The sequence below is a fragment of the Homo sapiens genome, chromosome 1 (assembly GCF_000001405.40).
Source record: "Homo sapiens chromosome 1, GRCh38.p14 Primary Assembly".
NCBI classification, from domain to species: domain Eukaryota; kingdom Metazoa; phylum Chordata; class Mammalia; order Primates; family Hominidae; genus Homo; species Homo sapiens.
This window is the reverse complement of record NC_000001.11, coordinates 153,039,446-153,061,607: the sequence shown is the minus strand read 5'-3', so window position 1 is coordinate 153,061,607 and position 22,162 is coordinate 153,039,446. Positions and strand designations below refer to the sequence as shown.

The 22,162-nt window shown below is 38.2% G+C and overlaps 2 protein-coding genes across 3 annotated transcripts; both read left to right on the top strand.

Moving 5' to 3' along the window:
• The first annotated feature begins 4,095 nt into the window (after positions 1–4,095).
• Positions 4,096–5,488, top strand: SPRR2A (small proline rich protein 2A). The gene is made up of 2 exons (NM_005988.3): positions 4,096–4,137; positions 4,854–5,488. The coding sequence occupies exon 2, from the start codon at positions 4,873–4,875 to the stop codon at positions 5,089–5,091; it is 219 nt and encodes a 72-aa protein (NP_005979.1). The 5' UTR covers positions 4,096–4,137; positions 4,854–4,872; the 3' UTR covers positions 5,092–5,488.
• A 14,999-nt stretch (positions 5,489–20,487) lies between these two features.
• On the top strand, positions 20,488–21,876 carry SPRR2D (small proline rich protein 2D). Of its 2 annotated transcripts, none has more exons than NM_006945.5 (2): positions 20,488–20,530; positions 21,243–21,876. In NM_006945.5, the coding sequence occupies exon 2, from the start codon at positions 21,262–21,264 to the stop codon at positions 21,478–21,480; it is 219 nt and encodes a 72-aa protein (NP_008876.3). In that variant the 5' UTR covers positions 20,488–20,530; positions 21,243–21,261; the 3' UTR covers positions 21,481–21,876. The 2 variants fall into 2 exon arrangements, with proteins under 2 accessions (NP_008876.3, NP_001369177.1); NM_001382248.1 differs by having other exon boundaries at positions 20,488–20,536.
• Positions 21,877–22,162: the final 286 nt, after the last annotated feature.

The window sequence follows — 22,162 nt, the reverse complement described above, 5'->3', positions numbered from 1 at the left end:
TTGGGAAGGTTAGTGCTAATGAGCTATTCAGTTTCTTATAAGGATTTAGCCTAAAATTTAGGTAATTTGCCACCAGAAGAAATGTGATATTTGAATGAGTGTTTTTTATTAATGTCCTAAACAGCTAACCACATAACAGTAAACTAAATTGGAGGTAACATTATATATATTTTCACATGGAATGCTAAATATCTATGTATGTTAATATTTTACAAATGAACACATCCACATATTGCTATTTACTGTATTTAGATTTATTTTCTTGTATTAACTGAATTCAGAGGAAAGTCTTAGAGAGTACGAACAACTAGGAACTGATCTAAATTTCTGCTTAGATTAACTCTCATTTTTATCACATAAGAATAAACGTCAGGATCAGCCCATCTTATTATTTCTGCCCACTTCATTCAAATAATATATTTGCATTTGCTTTGTCCTAAAAACTTCTGGCACACAGTTAAAATAAGGATAATATAAAAGATCTTAAAGAGAAAGCAAGTATCTTTCTTAACCATAAACAACTTGAAATTGATATTTTGTCTCTATTTCTTTCATTAACAATGTGTTACTTTAGCATTTTGAGCACTATCTGTAGCCTGTGCTAAGTATTTATATGCAGTCTCTGATTTAATTGTTTTCTCATGACAATTTAGTGGTAGTTACTATTATTATCACCACGTTCTACTATCCTTACTACCTGTCCTGCTAATCATCCATCTCTTCCAATTTCATCATATTATGGCCAATTTATGCTTTCTATCCACCTGGCTCTTGGATAGTAGACAAACTCATTCCTGATTTTGTTATCCTAGAATGATCTCCCAATTTTGGTGAATGATTTCACAGACACATACAGCTATTGGGTGTCTGTGGTTACTACGATTCTCACATTTGGAGAGAACACCATTTGTAAACATCTGTGTGTATATGTCAATACTCTGAGGAAGGGGGATTATTATTGGAGTTTTCTTCGAGAGAGATTTTAGAAGGGATGTGATCAAATGTAGAGCTATTACAATAAAACTACTGCTACTTACATCCTGCCCCACCTTTAGTGTCTAGCCAATAATGCTTAAAAAAAACCCAAAAAACCCACTATCTCACTAACTGAGCAATGGACAGGCTTGTCTCTTGTTAGCTTTTCAAAGTAGAATTTTAAGATTCCTTACTCAATAATAGGTAACATTTGAAGCATACTTTGAAAAGTTAAATAAGAACATAAACATCATCTGTAATTATACCAGCCATATATAATCACATTTAGTATGTTGTTTTATGTTTCCCATCTTTTAATGAAAATGTTATCATGCTTTACATACATTTTTTAGTATAATTTGAATATTTTAAATAATATTACATAATCTCCCAAAACATTCTTCTTAATTACTTTCAGAATTCTACCATATGTTTATCTAATTCATCGAATTATGGAAGGACAATGGAGACTAAGCCTGCTATTCAGAAATAAAAGCAGAAGGCAGATATGCATGGGGACTGGTAGTTACCATTTCTCTTAACATATCAAGAATATTTTGCAACAATTCCTGTTTCTTTGTTTTTTCATATTTTATTTTAAATCTTCACTTGCCAGCACTATTTTGTATAGCAGAATGTATCATAGTAAAATGTGAGATAAAATGTTGAATCAAATATTACACCAAATAAAAGTTTTTGTTCTTTCCTGTCATTTTTATGAACTAATAATTCGTACTTAATGATCCCTTACAAAATTAGGAAGTAGAAATAATAGGAATGAATCTAAGGCTATCAGACTGTTAAGAAACATAAAGCTAAGCTCTTTAGACATGAAGATAGATGATAGATAAATAAAGACCCATGGAGTGCGTGTGTATGTGTGTGTGTGTGTGCATGTGTGAAGTATGCCTCGCTCCATGTATCAAGGCCTGGATGTCCTAACTTGGGGAAGCTGTGACTGTTAGCTGCCCCTCTTCATATTGTGGCCGTTCCTCATGTGGCTGCTCTGTGTGGAACTCTGAGTTTCAAGTTCACCACCTCAACTTGTAAAGTGAGCCTGTCTGAGATGCGGGGGGCACTAGGGCTGCTGCCATTCTAGTGCCTGCACTGGTGTGATAAGCCTCCTGTTGGAATGCGGTGTTCTCAGAAGGGGTGTCGCAGGGTGTGACTCAGACTGTGTTATCTCACACAGTGATCTCATCTGGCAGCAAATTCTTCAATTTTGCATGGCACAAATCAGATATTTCTTTAAGGATTTGTGTTTTAGATGTGATGTGAGGCTGTTGGGGAGTAGTAGGGGACCTATTGAGTAAAGGCCCTTTACTTTGCCCAGTGAAGTGCTTGACATGTGTAATAGTCTATAGGAAACACTTGGTGAGAACACCATTTGTAAACACCTGGCCTCAAGGTTCTGATATGTTGGCTCTATTTCTGTAGTGTCCTGGCCAGTGATGATCTTAGCCAAAAGCCCTTCCTTACTGACAGGAGAAATAGCAGTTCTGGGTACCTAACCTGCTTAACTGAGGGATGTGATGCTGGGTTCATTCAACACATGTTCTTCCTGGAGCATAGCTGGTGACTGCTCTGATGATTTTGTCTTTCCTCTTCCTCATTCCCCTTTCTTCTTATCTACTTACAAAACCACATTCTTGGAAAGCTTCCTGATTAATGGTCCAGATAAGGAAGCTCTAGCAATATCACTTTAAATGCTTAATATACAATATTTAGAAAACCTTATGATTGTAAAAGAGCTTAAAAAAGATGTGAAAGAACAATCACTAAATGCATTGACAACATATGTGTTAAGTGAACAATATGTACCAAAATGGACAGATGAGAGGTGTACATTGGGGTGTGAGTTGATAATCCAGCAGACTGTGGGACTAGAGGGTCTACGGAAAAAACAAAGGAAGAACATACAAACAAATTTTAAAACACTGTCTTTCAAACACCTAAAACCTGTTTGGAAATAGAGAGCAAGAATACATATTGGATTACACTTAGCTTTTATTTTCCTCTAGATTTCAGACTTTAAGTGCTCTGAACTTCTGCACTCTGCAAACCTACTTCTAATTATTTACATATGATAACATGAGTCTATGCAGCTTGTTCTCTATAGGATATTCACAGGACACTACAGAATGTTTTGGGAGATTATGTAATATTTAAAATATTCAAATTATACTAAAAATGTATGTAAAATGTATTGAACATAGGCAAGTTTCAATACATAGATTTTGAGTGAATGCTTGCAACTTTGGTTCCATTCTCTCTACTTCCTTAAGGTGGTGTCCAAGAGTACATTTTTATAAATAAAAAGTTATAGTACACATCCCTAAGGGCAGCAAGTAGAAAACGTGCTAGGGAGACTCGATCTCACTTTGGAATCTATCCTGGGAGACAAATGCCTCTACAAATGGATTAGAGAAGACAGTTTTAAAGAGGAAGATAATACAGGTAAAATCTGGGGTTTTATGAGAGAAAGAAAGAGGTAGAAGAAAAAATTTCAAGCTCGAACAGGGTCATCAGGTGGCACAATGCGGTCAATGCCTGCAAACTCAGGGGTAAGTATTATTCTCCCTGTTTACAGTTCCGTGGAGGAGAAGTGACTTGCCTGTGGTCATACAACAGAGCAAAGAAAAGGCTTGAGCTAGAACTCAGGCCTTTGTTAGGTCTCCCCTTCCTCCTAGCACATTGGCAAATTGCATGAGGAAAGTAGAGGTACAGTTGAGTTCATGTACAACAATAAGGCATTCAGGTAAAGTGAATGAGGGCAGAAGTTTTATGATTTAGGGAAGGTGTAAGACAGGAAAATATCTTTGTTCCCAATTAAGAAAGAGATCCCTTGACCATCAGTTAGAGATTCCCCCAAGTCCCTCTTTGCCATAAGTCACTGAAACTGAGATCCAAGGCATGGCTTCTGTGAGTCAGGAGAGCTTAACCCAGAGGAGAGATTTCAGAACAGGATATTTCCTATTTTGAGTATCCTGCTCATGCCAGTCATGGATAAATTTGCATCTGGCTTAAGAAATTACTGGATCAGCATTGTTTTGGGTAGTTTCACTTCCTGCTGGGTGGGGTAGCAGGCTCTATAAAGAGATCCTCTGCTGCACGACTCTTAAACCCCTGGTACCTGAGCACTGATCTGCCTTGGAGAACCTGGTGAGTCGGCTTCCTTGAGTTCCTCTGTTCTTTGTGCCCTGAAATGTTGAGTTTAATCTGAATATGGCAAGTTTGGTGGATCCAATCCTATGAAAATTGACTTGATGCTACTTAGTGGATGAAAATTTAAGATTAGAGCACAATTATATGCTATTTTAGCTTTCTTTTGTTATACAGGTAGGTATCCATATGGACAGAGAAGTTAAGGGGTAACCTTTGATATGAAGAAGAAAAAAGAACAAAGTATTTTTCTTTATTCTCTGTCTTTCTAGTGTCCTTTACAAAGGTTTGTGTCTTAGCAGGTGTGAAAGACTACAATTCTCCCTGAGCAGCCCTTTGCTCTATGCCCAAGTCAGCCCACTTGGACTTTATAACAGATAATGATGATAGGAATAGCATATTAGATTGCCCAGGGTGTCTGAACTTGTGACTGCCTTTCTTGAATTGGTTATTTTCAGGGAAATAAGATGCTTGATTCTTTATAACAGAGATAATTTATTTGGAAAAATTGTATGAGAAAACACAGGATTTCCTAGGGACAATGAAGCAATTTGTTAAAGTGGAAGGGAGAAACCAGAAAGTCTTGAAAAGGTAATTAAGAATTTAAATAATTTCTTGGAGATTGGAGAAATAATATGCCATGGTATTACACAAGCTTTGGCTTCTCTCTCTGGAGGATTCCCTTCCCACGAACACTGTTGTATCATTTCTTTCAGATCCTGAGACTCCAGCAGGATGTCTTATCAACAGCAGCAGTGCAAGCAGCCCTGCCAGCCACCTCCTGTGTGCCCCACGCCAAAGTGCCCAGAGCCATGTCCACCCCCGAAGTGCCCTGAGCCCTGCCCACCACCAAAGTGTCCACAGCCCTGCCCACCTCAGCAGTGCCAGCAGAAATATCCTCCTGTGACACCTTCCCCACCCTGCCAGTCAAAGTATCCACCGAAGAGCAAGTAACAGCTTCAGAATTCATCAGGACCAAGAAAGGATAAGGATATTTGGCTCACCTCGTTCCACAGCTCCACCTTCATCTTCTCATCAAAGCCTACCATGGATACACAGGGAGCTTCTTTCTCCTTAGCCAGTAATCTGCCCATGATGATCCCTGACAGCAAAAAGTTTCTTTTCTGAGGCTGCCATACTGCCACTGTCCAGGTGGAGACTGAGCAAAGGAAGTCCTGGGCTGTGCCAGCTCCCAGAGCTTCGGAAGAAAGAGCAGCAGCTCTCTCCCTGGGAACCATCAGAGAATTCTGTTGATGTGTTCTGTGTCTGTCTGTCACCTGGTCACGAGCTTCTACCACCTTTGCAATTGTCACTTATCTTTCACTCCCTGAATAAAGTATCTATGCATATATATTTGTGAATGGATCTTTTGTTTATTTTCAAATCTGCTTTATTAGCAATAGTATGTAATCTTTTGGATTTATTTCAATCTTTCTTTGATTCACAGCAGGATCTCACAATTGGAGTCATACCAAAGATTATTTCTGTATCATTTTAAACCCCTTTTATTTTCCCTAATTAGCATTTGATTGATTTGAGGAGGATATTATTCAACTTCTCTGAATTGACAACTTCTCTTTACTGCAAAGTGAGCAAAATAACATTTACATTACAAACTAGTCTAAGGCATAAAATTTGATTACTATCTGATATTTGGTTGGCACAATGCCTGACACGTAATTAGCTGTCATTTGATAGAGTTGTATTCGCAGCAACATATTATCATTGTTTTCACCATCACCATCCTCCTCCTCCTCCTCCTCATCATCATCACTCCCCACTACAACCACTACCATATTTGTTCCAGCAAGAGAGTGGCTTGGGTGTAACTAACATAGGAAATAAGAAGACTCTCTAATGTTATTTGTATTGATTCATAATACTTGTACACATTTACTGCATACATGTGATTTTTTACATGAATAGAATGTGTAATGATCAAGTCAGGATATCAGGAAATTTAGGGCATTCATCCCCTGCAGCATTTATCATTGTTCTTTATTGGGAACATTTTAATTCTAGCTATTTTGAAGAACACAGTACATTGTTGTATACCGTAGTCACCTTCCTCTGCTATCAAATATTAAAACTTACTCATTTTATGTATCCATATGTTTTTACTCGTTAACCAGTATTTCTTCATTCCCCATCCCCCTGAACACCCTTCCTTGCCTCTGGTATCTCTCATTCTACTCTCTACCTTTATAGATCATCATTTGTAGCTCCTACATATGAGTGAGAACATGCAATATTTGTCTTTCTCTGCTTGATTTATTTTACTTAACATAATGACCTCCAGTTCCATCTGTGTTGCTGCCAATGACAGGATTTCATTCATTTTATTACAATGGACTAGTATTTCATTGTGTGTATATACATATTTTCTTTATTCATTCATTCATTAATGGACACTTAGCTTACACATCTTTTCTGTTGTGAACAGTACTGCAATAACCGTGGGAGTTCAGGCATCCTTTTTGCGTACTGATTTCCTTTGGATAGATACACAGCAGCTGGATTGCTGGATTGAATAGTAGTTCTGCTTTTAGTTTTTTGAGAAATCTTCTTACTGTTTTGCATAGCAATTGTACTAATTTACATTCCCACCAAGAGTACACAAGGCTTCTTTTTTCTTTACACCCTCTTCAGCGTAGCTTTTTTTATCTTTTATTTTAAGTTCAGGGGCACATGTGCAGGTTTGTTATATAAGCAAGCTCATGTCGCAGGGTTTAATCGTAGCACCCATTAGTTATTTTTCCTGATCCTCTCCTTCTCCATACCCTGTGGTAGGTGCCAGTGTCTGCTGTTCTCTTTAAGGTGTCCATGTTTTCTCATCATGTAACTCACACTTATAAGTGAGAACATGCAGTATTTGAATTTCTGTTCCTGCATTAGTTTGCTAAGGATAATGGCCTCCAGCTCCACCTATGTACCTGTATTCCATGGTGTATATGTACCATATCTTCTTTATCTAGTCTATCATTGATGGGCACTTAGTTTTATTCCATGTCTTCACTATTATGAATGGTGCTGCAATGAACTTAACACACGCATGTGTCTTTATGATATAGAATGGTTTATAATCCTTTGGGTATATGCCAAGTAATGGGATTGCTGGTTGAAATGGTGGTTCTGTTTTTAGTTCTTTGAGTAATTGCCACACTGTTTTCTTCAATAGTTGATCTAATTTACATTCCTACAAGCAGTGTATAAACATTCCTTTTTCTATACAACCTTGCTAGCACCTTTATTTTTGACCTTTTAATAGCCATCTGACTGGGGTGAGACTGTCTCTCATTGTGGTTTTGATCTGCATTTCTGTAATGATCAGTGATATTGGGCTTTTTTAATATGCTTGTGTACCACACATATGTGTTCTTTTTAAAGCGTCTGTTCCTGTCCTTTTCCCACTTTTTAATAGGGCTGTTTTTTTTCTTGTGGATTTCTTTAAATTCCTTATAGATGCTAGATATTACACCTTTATAATATGCATAGTTTGCAACAATTTTCTCCCATTCTATAGGTTGTCTGTTTACTCTTTTGACGGTTTCCTTTGCTTTGTAGAAGCTCTTTAGTTTAATTAGATCCTACTTGCCAATTTTTGTTTTTGTTGCAATTGCTTTTGGCATCTTATTCATGAAATCTTTGCCTGTCTCTATGTCCAGAATGGTATTGCCTAGGTTGTCTTTCAAAGTTTTTATGGTTATGGGTTCTACGTTTTAGTCTTTAATCCATCTTGAGTTGATTTTTATATATGGTGTAAGGAAGGCATCCAGTTTCAATCTTCTGCATATGGCTAGCCAGTTATCCCAGCACCATTTATTGAATAGGGAGTCCTTTCCCCATTGTTTGTTTTTGTCACCTTTTTAGATGATCAGATAGTTACAGGTGTGATGCTTTATTTCTGGCTTCCCTATTCTGTTGCATCAGTGTGTGTCTGTTTTTGTACCAGTGCCATGCTGTTTTGGTTACTGTAGACTTGTAGTATAGTTTGAAATCAGGTAGTGTGATGCCTCTAGTTTTTTTCTTTTTGCTTAGGGATTGCCTTGGCTATTTGGGCTCAGTTTTGGTTCTATATGAATTTTAGGATAGTTTTTTTTCTAGTTCTGTGAAGAATGTCTTTGGTGGTTTGATAGGAATCACATTGAATCTGTAAATTGGGCAATATGGTCATCTTAATGATATTGATTCTTCCTATTTATGAGCACGGAGTGTGCTCCCTACATTTGTGTCATCTCTGATATTGTTCAGCAATGTTTCGTAGCTTTCCATGTAGAGATCTTTCACCTCCCTGGTTAGCTGTATTCCTAGGTATTTTATTCTTTTTGCCACTATTGTGAATGGGATTGTGTTTGTTAATTGGCTCTTGGCTTGTCTTTTGTTGGTGTATAGGAGTGCTAGTAATTTTTGTGCATTGATTTTGAATCCTGAAACATTGCTGAAGTTATCAGCTGAAAGAGCTTTTGTTTTGAGACTATGGGGGTTTTTTTAGATACAGAATCATGTTGTGTGTAAACACAGTAGTTTGACTTTCTGTCTTCCTATTTTGATGCCCTTTCTCTCTTTGTCTTCCCTGATTGCTGTGTCCAGGACTTCCCATACTATATTGAATAAGAGTGGTGAAAGAGAGCATAATTGTCTTGTTTTGGTATTCAAGGGCAATGCTTCCAGCTTTTCACCATTCAGTATGATATTGGTTGTGGGTTTTTCATAGATGGCTTGTATTATTTTGAGGTAAGTTTCTTTTGTATCTAGTTCATAGAGAGTTTTTAACATTAAAGTATGTTGAATTTTATGGATAGCCTTTTCTGCATCTATTGAGACAATCATATGATTTTTGCCTTTAGTTCTGTTTATGTGATGAATTGCACTTATTGATTTGTTTATTGTTGAACCAATCTTACATCTCAGGGATAAAGCCAACCTGATGGTGGTGGGTAAGCTTTTTGATGTGCTGCTGGATTTGGTTTGCCAGTATTTTGTTGAGAATTTTTGCATTGATGTTAATTAAGGATATTGACCTGATGGTTTGTGTGTGTGTGTGTGTGTGTGTGTGTGTGTGTGTGTGTGTGTGTCCCTGTCAGGTTTTGGTATCAGGATAATGCTGGCCTCATAGAATGAGTTGGGGAGGAGTTCATCCTCCTCAATATTGTGGAATAATTTTAGCAGGAATATTTGTTTGGCAGAAAACAAGAGCAGATACTAGCTCTTGTTTGTATATCTGGTCGAATTCAGCTGTGCATTTGTCTTGTCCTGGGCTTATTTTTGTTGGTAGGCTATTTATTACTGTTTCAATATTGGAGCTCATTACTGGTCCTTTCAGGGATTCAAATTCTTTCTGGCTCAGGCTTGGGAGGGTGTATGTGTCCAACAACGTATTTGTTTCTTCTAGATTTTCTAGCTTATGTGCATAGAGGTGTTCATAATATTCTCTTATGGTTATTTGTATTTCTCTGGGGTCAGTGGTAATATCTCCTTTGTCATTTCTAAATGTGTTTACCTAGATTTTCTCTCTTTTCCTCTTTATTAGTCTAGTTAGCAGTCTATTTATTTCATTAATTTAAAAAACCCACCTCCTGGATTTGTTGATCTTTTGAATGATTTTTCATGTCCCAGTGTCCTTCAGTTCAGCTCTGATTTTAGGTATTTCTTATTTTCTCCTTGCTTTGGGGTTAGTTTTCTCTTGATTCTCTAGTTCTTTTAGTTGTGATGTCACGTTGTTAAATTGAGACCTTTCTAACTTTTTGATGTGAGCATTTTGTGCTATAAATTTCCCTCTTAACACTGCTTTAGCTGTGTTCCAGAGATTCTGGTATGTTGTATCTTTATTCTCATTAGTTTCAAAGATCTTCTTGATTATGGTCTAATGAAATATGTGGATTTGATCCTGTCATCATGAAGTTAGCTGGTTATTTTGCAAACTTATGTATGTGGTTGCTTTATAGCGTTACTGTTCTGTGCACTGACGTGTGTTTTTGTAGTGGCTGATAATAGTCTTTCCTTTTTATATTTAGCTCTTCCTTCAGGAGCTCTAGTAAGGTAGGTCTTATGGTAACACATTCCTTCAGCATTTGCTTGTCTGAAAAGTATCTTATTTCTCCTTCACTTTTGAAGTTTAGTTGGGCTAGAATTGAAATTCTAGGTAGCAATTTCCTTTCTTTAAGTGTGTTGAATACTGGCTCCCAATCTCTTCTGGCTTGTGTGATTTCTGCAGAGAGGTCTGCTCTTAGTCTTCTGGGTTTCCCTATGTAGGTGACGTGACCTTTCTTTCTAGCTGCTTTTAAGACTTTTTCTTTCATTCAACCTTGAAAAATCTGATGATTATGTATCTTGGGGATGATGTTCTTCTGTAGTATCTTACAAGGGTTCTTTGCATTTTCTGAATTTTATGTCTGTCTGTCTAGCTAGGTTGGGGAAGTTCTCATGGATGATATCCTGAAATATATTTTCAAGCTGGTTACACTCTCCTTATCTCTTTCAGGGACACCAATGAGTCACAGATTTTGTTTCTTTAGAAAATACCATTTTTTTAGGTTTTGTTCATTTCTTTTAATTCTTTTTTCTCTATTCTTGGCTGACTGTCTTATTTCAAAAAGTTAGTCTTCAAACTCTGGGATTCTTTTCTCTGCTTGGTCTACTCTATTACTAATACTCGTGATTGCATTAGAACATAACCGACCTGATAGAGCTGAGAAACACTCTACAAAATGTATAGTTTCTAGTGTGTTTCTTAGCTCTATCAGGTCAGTTATGTTCTTTTCTATACTGGCTATTTTGTCTGTCAGCTCCTGCGTTGTTTATGGTGATTCTCAGCTTTCTTGGATTGGGTTTCAGAACACTCCTGCATCTTATTGATCTTCCTTCCTATCCATATTTTGAATTCCATTTCTAGCATTTCGGCCATCTCAGCCCAGTTCTGAGCCCTGGCTGGAGAGGTCGTGTGGTCATTTGGAGGAAAGAAGGCACTCTGGCATTTTGAGTTTTCAGAGTTCTTGCGTTGCTTCTTTCTTATCTTTGTGTCTTATATTCCTTCAATCTTTGAAGTTGGTGATGTTTGGATGGGTTTTATTTTTTTAATCTCATTTGATAACCTTGAGGTTTTGATTGTGGTGTAAGGTCAATTCAGATGACTGGCTTCATTTGTGAAAGATTTTGGGGTCCCAACACTCAGCTCCCAACTCCTGGACTGCATGCTGTAACTCTGGGGGAACTATATCAGGCTTGACTTTGTTCTTTGGCTCCCCCAGGTTAGGAGGCTGAGGTGCTCCCTGATCCCTGGTCACTACACTGTGATGAGTGGTGTCAGCCAAAGTGTTTTGTAGTGTGGTGGCAGCGGGGTCCATTCTTGTTTGTATGTGCCAGGAGCAGAGGCAGCATGGCAGGGTGCATACTTTTAGGCTGGAGCAGGGTTCTTGCAGGTGCTAGGCTACTTGCCTCTGTGGGGACATTCACCACAGTGGTGGAGGCAATGTTTCTTGGCAGGGTACAGGGTCCCTGCTGGTGACTGTGTGTGTGTGGTGACACTTGTAGTGTTGTTGGTGTGTGGATGGGGTGCTGGCTGGTGCAGGTCTGTGTGCTTTCTCTCTGTGCCATGGGCAGGGGTGGTTGTTTGGGATGCAGGAGTTTCCACTGTTTTCAGTGCCTAGTTTCACTCCCACGGCAGTGTTGGCACAAGGGTATACACTGGCATGGGTGGTGCACTGGCAGGGGTGGGGCTTCCTGGCTCTGTGCTTGCCATGGCTCTGTGACTGCAATGGTCATTGCCAGGGATAATGGGCTGACCATACTCTCACTGCAGCAGTGGCAGGGCAGGATGCACACACTCACATGTACTGGTGAGGAGAGGAAAGCAAAACCCATTCATGAACACACATGCTAGCAAAGTGACATGGAGTGTTGCTCTGGGCCCAGGGGAAGCTGCAATGTGTGGAGTGAGCAGATGGGCTGGTAGGTGACTGTGGGTGGCTGCCCCGCTGGAGTTCTCCACTTGTCAGCTGTGATCTGCCAGCACAGAGGCTATGATGGAGTCCCAAGGTCACCCGAGTTTGCCCTGCAAGCAGGTACAGCCAGGCTGGCACCCCAGGAGAGACCAGCTGACCAGGGGGTGCTCAGGTCAGACTGGCCCCATCTGAAGGGCAAGATTGCCCTGCACAGTTCAGGTCCAACAGTTCCCCAGGGGCTGAAGTCTCCTATGCAAGCAAGTTGAGCCTAGGGAGATGGCCATCCCTGGCCCTGCTCCATTACAGACACTCCCCTACCAAACCCTTTAGGCTCCACATCAGCTGGCATGCTGCCTCTGTCACTTCCCTAAGCAGCTCTCCCTGCCAACTGGAGCATCCCTGGTGGTTAAGGGGGTCTCCCCCTGCCGGGATTCCAGAGGCCCATGGCGAGAGTGGGTTGTTCCCTGTCGGTTCAACTCAGCTGTTCCCCTGGAGTCACTGGAGGCCAGGAACCAATCTTGGTGTGTAGTGTCCCTGTGTAGAGCTCCCACCTTTCTCTCTTTTCAGCCTAGCTTCTGGATCTTCTCTTCATCCACTCTCAGTGCCTTCCCTCTGAATATCTGTTAGAAGTGCACCTGCCATCTCGGTCCCTTAGTGGCAGCTGTTCCACCTGGCTGCATCCAGTTGGCCATCTTACCTACGGCCACAGGAATGATCTGGTATGCTAAATGTTTTTGAGGCTTTTTTGCATCAATATTCATGAGGAATATTGTTCTGTAGTTTTCATTTCTTGTAGTGTCTTTGTCTGGCTTTTGTATCCGGGTATTCGTGTGCCTCATGGAACAAGACAGGAAGTAGTCCCTATTTTCAGCTTTCTTTTTTGAAAGATTTTGAAAAGGATTGGCATATACTTCTCCAGTAAATCCTTCTGGGTCAACACTTCTTTCTTGTGAGATTTTAGATTAAAGATTCAATTTTTTTTACTTATTATATATCTTTTCAAATTTTCTATTTCTTCATGATTTGGTTTGGTGGATAGTGTATATCTAAGAGTTTGTTCAACTGGTTATCTGATAAGCTGACAGAATTGTTCATAGTTTCTGCTTAAAATTTTTTTATTTTTGTAAAATCAGTAGTAACGTCCTCACTTTCTTTTAGATTTTAGCTATTTGAATGTTATATCGTACTTTTTCCCTGTAGTTAGTCTAAAGATTTTTCAATTTTATTGACCTTTTCAAAGAAATAAAACTTAATTTCATTGATTTTTCTCTATGGTTTGCTTGTACTTTATTAGTATCTCTACTCTAGGCTTATATTTACTTTTCTGGGGTTTAGTGTACTTTAATTTTTGTAGTTTCCTAAGCTGTAACATGAGGTTATTGATCTGAGATATTTTTCTGTCATTAAAAATGTATGTGGGCCAGGCACGGTGGCTCATGCCTGTAATCCCAGCACTTTGGGAGGCCGAGATGGGTGGATCACGAGGTCAGGAAATTGAGACCATCCTGGCTAACATGGTGAAACCCCGTCTCTGCTAAAAATACAAAAAATTAGCCAGGCGTAGTGGCAGGCCCCTATAGTCCCAGCTACTCGGGAGGCTGCGGCAGGAGAATGGCGTGAACCCAGAAGGCAAAGCTTGCAGTGAGCCAAGATCACGCCACTGCATTCCAGCCTGGGAGATAGAGAAAGACTCTGTCTCAAAAAAACAAAAAAAAAAATGTGGTTCTGGCTGTAAATTTCCCCGTTAGCACTGCTTTTGCTGAAAACCATAAGTTTTGGTTTGATGTGTTTTGTTGTCAGTAGTCCCAAGCAATTTCTAATTTTCTTTGTGATTTCTTTTTTGACCTGTTGGTCATTTAAGAGTTTGTTGTTTAATTTCTACAAATTTGTGAAATTTCCAGTTTTAATTGGGCTATAAGTTTTTAATTTCATTTTATTGTGATTGGAAAAGTACTTTGTATGATTTCAGTCTTTTAAAATATATTAACTTGTTTTCTAGACTAATATGTGGTCTATCCTGGAGAGTGTTCTTCCATGTTCTCTTGAGAAAACTGTAAGGGGTATCCTGTTCCTTTTGGTTGGAGTATTCTATATTTGTCTGTTTGTTCCAATTGGCTTATATATTTAAGTCCTCTATTGTTTTTAACTTCTATCATTCTATCCACTTTTGAGAGGGAAGTATTCGAGTTTTCAACATGTTTTAGACCTATTAATTTCTTCTTTTAATTTCTCTCACTGTATCTTTTTATATTTTGGAGTTCTGATGTTCAGTAAGTGTATGTTTATAACTCCTATAATTTCTTGGTGAATAAATCTCTTTATCTTTGTAGTATTTTATAACAGTTCTCAACTTAAAGTTAATGATGTCTAATGTTAGTGTAGCCATGTCTGGTCTCTTTTGGCAATTTACATGAAATATCTTTTTCTTTCCTATTACTTTCACCTCCTTTGTGTCTTTAGCTTTAAAGTCAGTCTCTTTTAAACAGCAAACAGTTGAATCTTTTTTTTTTCTTTTTGATTCAATTCTCCAGTTTGTGTGGTTGGGGAGAGTTTAATTCAATCACATTTAAAGTACTTACTGATAAGGGAGTTCTTCTTTCTGCATTTACTCTTTTCTCTATATTGTTTGTCTTTCAACACTTTCTGATTTATGATTTTTTTCTACTAAAACTATTTTATTGCCTTTTTTCTTTTGTGTGTACTTGAAAATATTATTATGTGATTTCAATTGGGATTATGTATAATATTTTAAAGTTATAGTAATTTAATTTGAATTAACACTATGTAACTGCAATAGCATAGAATAGTTGACTCATACCCAGCTGGCCAACATGCCGAAACCCTGTCTCTACTAAAAATACAAAAATTAGCTGGGTGTGGTGGCACGCGTCTGCCTGTAATTTCCGAGGCACGAGAATCGCTTGAAACCAGGAAGCGGGGGTTGCAGTGAGCCAAGATCATGCCACAGCATTTCAGCCTGGGTGATGGAGTGAGGCTCTGTCTCAAAAAATGAAAAAATTAATAAAAAATAAAAAAAAGAAAAGTTGACTCACACAATCCTATCCTCTTTTTATGTTGAGTTCACAAATTATATCTTTATACATTGTGTGTTCACTAACACAGATTTGCAATTATTTTGTACACATTTGCATTTTAAATCTTGTAGAAAATAAAACGTGGAGTTACAAGCTAAAATTACAATAATGCTGGCTTTTATGTATCTGTGTACATTTACCAGAGATTTTTGTGTTCTCATACAGTTTCAAATTTCTCTCCAGCATTTTTATTCAACCTCAGAGGCTCTCTTTATCATTTCTCATACAGAAAATCTAGGGGCAATGAACTGCCTTAAGTTTTGATTTCCAAAAACGTTATAATTTTGCCATCATTTTTAAGGATAATTTTGCCAGCTGTAGAATTCTAGGTTGAAAGAATTCTAGGTTTTCTTTATTTTCAATATATCATCCTGCTGCCTCCTGATCCTAAAGGCTTTTGGTAAGAATTTGGTCAACTATTTATTAATAATCCCTTAGATATGATGATTTACTTGCCTCTTGCTGCTTTTGATATTATCTCTTTTGATAGTTTAATTATAAAGTGTCTCAGTGTGGGTGTCATTGAATTAATTTAACTGGAAGTTTTTTGTGCTTTTTGGATGTGTAATTTTGCATTTTTCAGAATTTGTATACATGGAACCATACAGTATATAGCCTTTGAGACTGACTATTTTTTACTTATCAGCTTGCATTTTAAATTCAGCCATGTCTTCGTGAGTCTTGATAGGTCATTCCATGTTATCACTGCATAGTATTCCATTGCTTGGGTGTGATGCACCACAGTTTATCAATTGAATTGTTGAAGGGCATCTTGGTAGATCACAGATCTTGGAGATTATGAATAAAGCTGCTATAATCATTGGAATGCAGGTTATTTTTTGTCAACATATTTTGAAATCTGTTAGATCAATTTTTGAATGTGCTTTTGTTGACTCATATAACAAAATTATGTTTATCTCTTTAAGATTGTGAATTAGTGTCGACTTTTCTCATAATGTTTATATTTTATTTAGCCTTTCTCCCACTTGCAGCAGAATTCAGGTCTCTTGTCTTATATGTTAGAGTTCAAACAGTTTTTTCTCTGCAAATGTTTTCACAATTTTGTCCGTGTTTCTTCGTTTTCCTTTTTAACTTTTCTGGAGGGAAACCACGGCCTATGCACATTCACTGTCTTGAAAAGATTCTTACAAAAAGAGGTGTCTGATTCATTCCATTATTTACCACATATCCTTCTCATTCTCATTTTAACACTAAGCATACGGGATTACTTTATATTACTAATAGCTCTTGAAATTATGCTCTTAAATATACTGATCTAACATATAGAGAAAATAAAAGTAGAATATATAGGGTCTATTCACTTTGAGAAGGTTAATACTGATGAGCTATTCAGTTTCTTATAATGATTTAGCCTAAAATTTAGGTAATTTGCCACCAGAAGGAATGTGATATTTAAATGAGTGATTTCTTTATTATCCTAAACAGCTAACTACAGTAACAGCAAACTAAATTGGAGGTAACATTGTATATTTTTTTCACACAGAATGCTGAATCTTTATAAGTGCTATTTGTTTTTACACATGAACAAATCCACATACTGCTATTTTTTGTATTTAGATTTATTTTCTTATATTAACTGAATTCAGAGGAAAGTCTTAGAGAGTCCAAACATCAAGGAACAATTAAAGCATCTGGTTTCTGTCCTTTGCTGTAAATTTCTGCTTAGGTTAACTCTCATTTTCATCACATAGGATAAGTGTCAAAATCATCCCATCTTATTGTTTCTGCACACTTCATTTAAATCATATATTTGCATTTGTTTTGTCCTAAAAACTTCTGGCACACACTTCAATAAGATAATATAAAAGATCTTAAAGGTGAAGCAAATAACTTTCTCAACCATAAACAACTCGAACTCGATATCTTGTCTCTATCTCTTTCGTTAACAATGTGTTACTTTAGCATTTTGAGCACTATCTGTAGCCTGTGCTAAGTACTTTAAATGCAGTCTCTGCTTTAGTTGTTTTCTCATGACAATTAGTGGTAGGTACTATTATTATCACTATGTTCTATTATAGTTACTACCTGTCCTACTGATCGCCCATTTCTTCCAATTTCATCATATTATGGCCAATTTATGCTTTCTATCCACGTGGCTCCTGGATAGTAGACAAACTCATTCCGATTTTTTTAACCTAGTATGATCTCCTAATTTTGGTGAGCTGTTTCATAGATACATATGGCTATGGAGTGTCTGTGGCTTCTGTGTGTGTGTGTGAATGCTATGAGGATGGGGATTATTATTGGGGTTTTCTTCAAGACAGATTTTAGTAGTGATGTGATCAGATGTAGAGCTATCACAATAAAACAACTGCTACTTACATCCAGCCCCACCTTTAGTGTCTGGCCAAAAATGCTGGAAAGAAGGAAGACCGTTTTCTCACTAATTGGACAATGGACAGGGTTGTCTCTTGTCAGCTTTTCAAATTAGAATTTTAGGATTCCTCACTCAATAATAGGTAACATTCGGAGAATATTTTGAAAAGTAAAACAAGAAAATAAACATCATCTGTAATTATACCAGCCAAATATAATCACATTTAATATGTTGTTTTACATATTTCCTAACTTTTAACAAATACATGTTAATGAAAATGTTATCATCCTTTACATAAGTTTTTAGTAAAATTTAATGTTTTAAATAATATTAAGTAATCTTTCAAAACATCCTTCTTAATTATCTTCAGAATTCTACTATATCTTTATCTGATACATTGAATTATGGAAAGACAATGGAGACTAAGCCTTCCATTCAGAAATAAAAGCAGAAGGCAGATATGCATGGGGGCTTACAGTTACCATTTCTCTGAGCATAAGAAGAATATTTTGCCATGATTCTTGTTTCTTTATTTGTTTACATATTTAATTTTAAATCTTCATTTGCTAGCACTATTTGGTTTAGTGGAATGTATCATAGTAAAATATGAGATAAAATGTTGCATCAAATATTAGACCAAATAAATTTTTTGTTCTTTCCTGTCATTTTTATGTACTAGTAATTCATACTTAATGATCTACTAGAAAATCAGGAAGTAGAAGTATTAGGAATGAGCCTAAGGCTATCAGACTCTTAAAGAACATAAAGCTAAGCTCTTTAGACATGAAGATAGATGATAAAGACCCATGAGGGGTGTGTGTGTGTGTGTGTGTGTGTGTGTGTGTGTGTGTGAAGTATGCCTCGCTCTATGTCTCAGGGCCTGGATGTCCTAACTTGGGGAAACTGTGACTATTAGCTGTCCCTCTTCATGTTATGGCCATTCCTCATGTAGCTGGTCTGTGAGGAACTCTGAGTTTCCAGTTCTCCACGTCAACTTGTAAAGTCAGCCTGTCTGAGATGCTGGGGGCACTAGGTCTGCTGCCACTCTGGTGCCTGCACTGCTGTGATAAGCAGCCTGTTTGAGTGGGGTGTCCTAAGAAGGGGAGTCTCAGGTTGTGACCCAAACTGTGTTATCTCACACAGTGATCTCATTTGGCAGCGAATTCTTCAATTTTGCATGGCAGAAATTAGACATTTCTCTATGGATTTATGTTTTAGATGTGATGTGAGGCTCTTGGGGAGTAGTGGGTGATTTATTGAGTAAAGGACTTTTACTTTGGCTGGTGAAGTGCGTGGCATGTGTAATAGTCTATAGGAAGCATTTGGTGAGAACACCATTTGTAATCACCTGGCCTCAGGGTGCTGACATGATGGCTCTATTTCTGTAGTGTCCTGGCCAGTGGTGATCTTGGCTAAAAGCTCTTCCTTACTGACAGGAGCAACAGCTGTTCTGGGAACCTAACCTACTTAACTGAGGGATGTGATGCTGGCTTGATTCAACACTCTGCCCTTCCTGGAGCACAGTTGGTGACTGCTCCAGTGATTTTGAGTCTTTCCTCTTCCTCATTCTCCTTTCTTCTTATTCACTTATAAAACCATGTTCTTGGGAAGCTTCCCGATTAATGGTCCAGATAAGGAAGCAGTAGCAACATCACTTTAAATGTTTAATATACAGTACTTAGAAAGGCTCACTGATTGTAGGAAGCATTTAAAAAAGTTGTGAAAGGACAATCACTAAATGCATTGACAACATATGTGTTAAGTGAACAATATGTACCAAAATGGACAGATGACAGGTATACATTGGGTATGAGTTGATAATCTAGCAGTTTGTGGGACTAGAAGGTTTATGGAAAAGACAAAGGAAGAACATGCAAACAAATTAAAAAACACTGAGAAACATCTAAAACCTGTTTGGAAATAGAGAGGAAGAATACATATTGGATTACCCTTTGTTTGTATTTTCCCCTTGAGTTAAACTTTAAGTGCTCTTACCTTCCTCACTCTGCACACCTACTTCTAATTATTTACATATGATAATGTCTATGCAGCTTGTTCTCTATAGGATGTTCACAGGGAACCATATATGCATGGTTCCATACATAGATTTTGAGTCAATACTTGTAACTTTAGTTTCCTTCTCTCCATTACTTTTTATAAATAAAAAGGCTGTAGTACACATCCTTGATGGCACCAAGTAGCAAACGTGCTGTGGAGACTAGATCTCACTCTCAAATCTGTCCTGGGATGCAAGTGCCTCTACGAATGTGGTGCAGAAGCTACAAATGTGGTGCAGAAGACAGCTTCAAAGAGGAAAGGAATATAGGTAAAAATCTGAGGTTTTATCTGAGAAAAAGGTGGCAAAGAAAATTTCAGTCTTGAACAGGGTCAGCAGATAGCACAATGTGGTCAGCCTGCAAACCCAGAGGTAAGTATTATTGTCCCCTGTTTATAATCCCAGGGAGGAGAGGTGACATGCCTGTTGTCATGGAACTTAGCAAAGAAAAAGCTTAGCTCAGGCCTTTGTTAAGTCTCTCCTTCCTTCTAGCACATTGGCCAACTGTATGAGGAAAGTAGAGGTAGAGTTGGGTTCATGTACAACAATATGGCATTCAGCTAGAGTGGATCAGGACAGGAAGTTTTATGACTCAGGGGAGGTAAGATAGGAAGGGATCATTGTTCCCAATCAAGAAAGAGAGCCCTTGACAACCGGTTAGAGAATCCCTCCAATTATCTCTCTGACGAAAGTCACTGAAACTGAGATCTAAGGCAGGTTCTCTGTGACTCATGAGCACTTAACCCAGTGGGGAGATCCCAGAACAGGATATTTCCTAGTTTGAGAATGCCTCTCATGCCAGATATGGATACATTTGCATTTTACTTTGGACATTGCTGGACCAGCCCAGTTTTAGGCAGTTCCACTTCCCACTGGGTGGGGCAGAACGTCCTATAAAGAGGTTCCCTGCTGCACAACTCTTAAACTCCTGGTACTCTAGCACCGATCTGCTTTGGAGAACCTGGTGAGTGTGAGTCCTTGAGTTCCTCAGTTCTTTGTGACCTGAAATATTGAATTTAATCTGAAAACAGCAAGTTTGGTTGATACAATTCTGTAACCATGGGTTTGATTCTACTTAGTAGATGGAAATTTAGATTTAGAGTACAGTGATATGCTATTTTAGCTTGTTTCTTGTATACAGTTAGGTGTCCATACGGACAGAGAAGTTAATAGGAAAGCTTTGAATTGAAGAAGAAAAAAGAACAAAGTATTTTTTCCCCATGTTTTCCTGGTGTCTTTTTCAAAGGTTTGTGTCTTAACAGGTGCCAAGAGCCTGCAATCCTTCCCAAACAGCCCTTTGTTCTGTGCTCAAGTCAACCCACTGGGACTTTACTACAGATAATGATAAGAGAAATGGCTTGTGAGATTGCTCATGGTATCTGAACTTGTCACTGCCTTTCCTAAAGATGTTATTTTCACAGAAATAACATGCTTGGTTCATTACTACAGAGATATTTTCTTTGGAAAAATTGTATGAGAAAACACAAGATTTCCCAGGGCCAATGAAGCAATTTGCTAAAGTGGAAGGGAGAAACGAAGTAGTCTTGAAAAGGCAGTTAAGAGTTTAAATAATTTCTTGGAGATGGGGAAATAATATTTCATGGTATTACATAAGCATTAGCTTCTCTCTCTGGAGGAGTCCCTTCCCACAAACACTGTTGTATCATTTCTTTCAGATCCTGAGACTCCAGCAGGATGTCTTATCAACAGCAGCAGTGCAAGCAGCCCTGCCAGCCACCTCCTGTGTGCCCCACGCCAAAGTGCCCAGAGCCATGTCCACCCCCGAAGTGCCCTGAGCCCTGCCCATCACCAAAGTGTCCACAGCCCTGCCCACCTCAGCAGTGCCAGCAGAAATATCCTCCTGTGACACCTTCCCCACCCTGCCAGCCAAAGTGTCCACCCAAGAGCAAGTAACAGCTTCAGGATTCATCAGGAGCATGAGAGGATAAGGATAATTGGCTCACCTCGTTCCACAGCTCCACTTGCATCTTCTCACCAAAGCCTTCCATGGATGCACAGGGAGCTTCTTTCTCCTTAACCTGTGGCCTGCCTGTGATGATCTGTGACAGCAAAAGATTCCCTTTCTGAGGCTGCCATACTGCCACTGTCCAGGTGGAGCTAAGAAAAGGAAGTCCTCAGCTGTGCCAGCTCCCAGAGCTTCGGAAGAAAGAGCAGCAGCTCTCTCCCTGGGAACCATCAGACAATTCTGTTGATGTGTTCTGTGTCTGTCTGTCACCTGGTCATGAGCTTCTACCACCTTTGCAATTGTCATTTATCTTTCACTCCCTGAATAAAGTATCTATGCATATATATTTGTGAATGGATCTTTTGTTTCTTTTAGAATCTGCTTTATTAGTAATATTATATGATTATTTGGATTTTGTTCTACCTTTCTCTGATCCCCAGGACCAGGATTTCACAATTATTGTTATCTGAATTTTGGGCCATAACAATGATTATTTTTATATCATTTTAAACCCCTTTTATTTTCCTTAATTAGTGTTTGATTGATTTGAAGAACAAATCAATCAGAATTTTAATCTCTTCATTTTAAAATGTGGAAAATAATATTTATATCACTAACTTATCTTAGGCA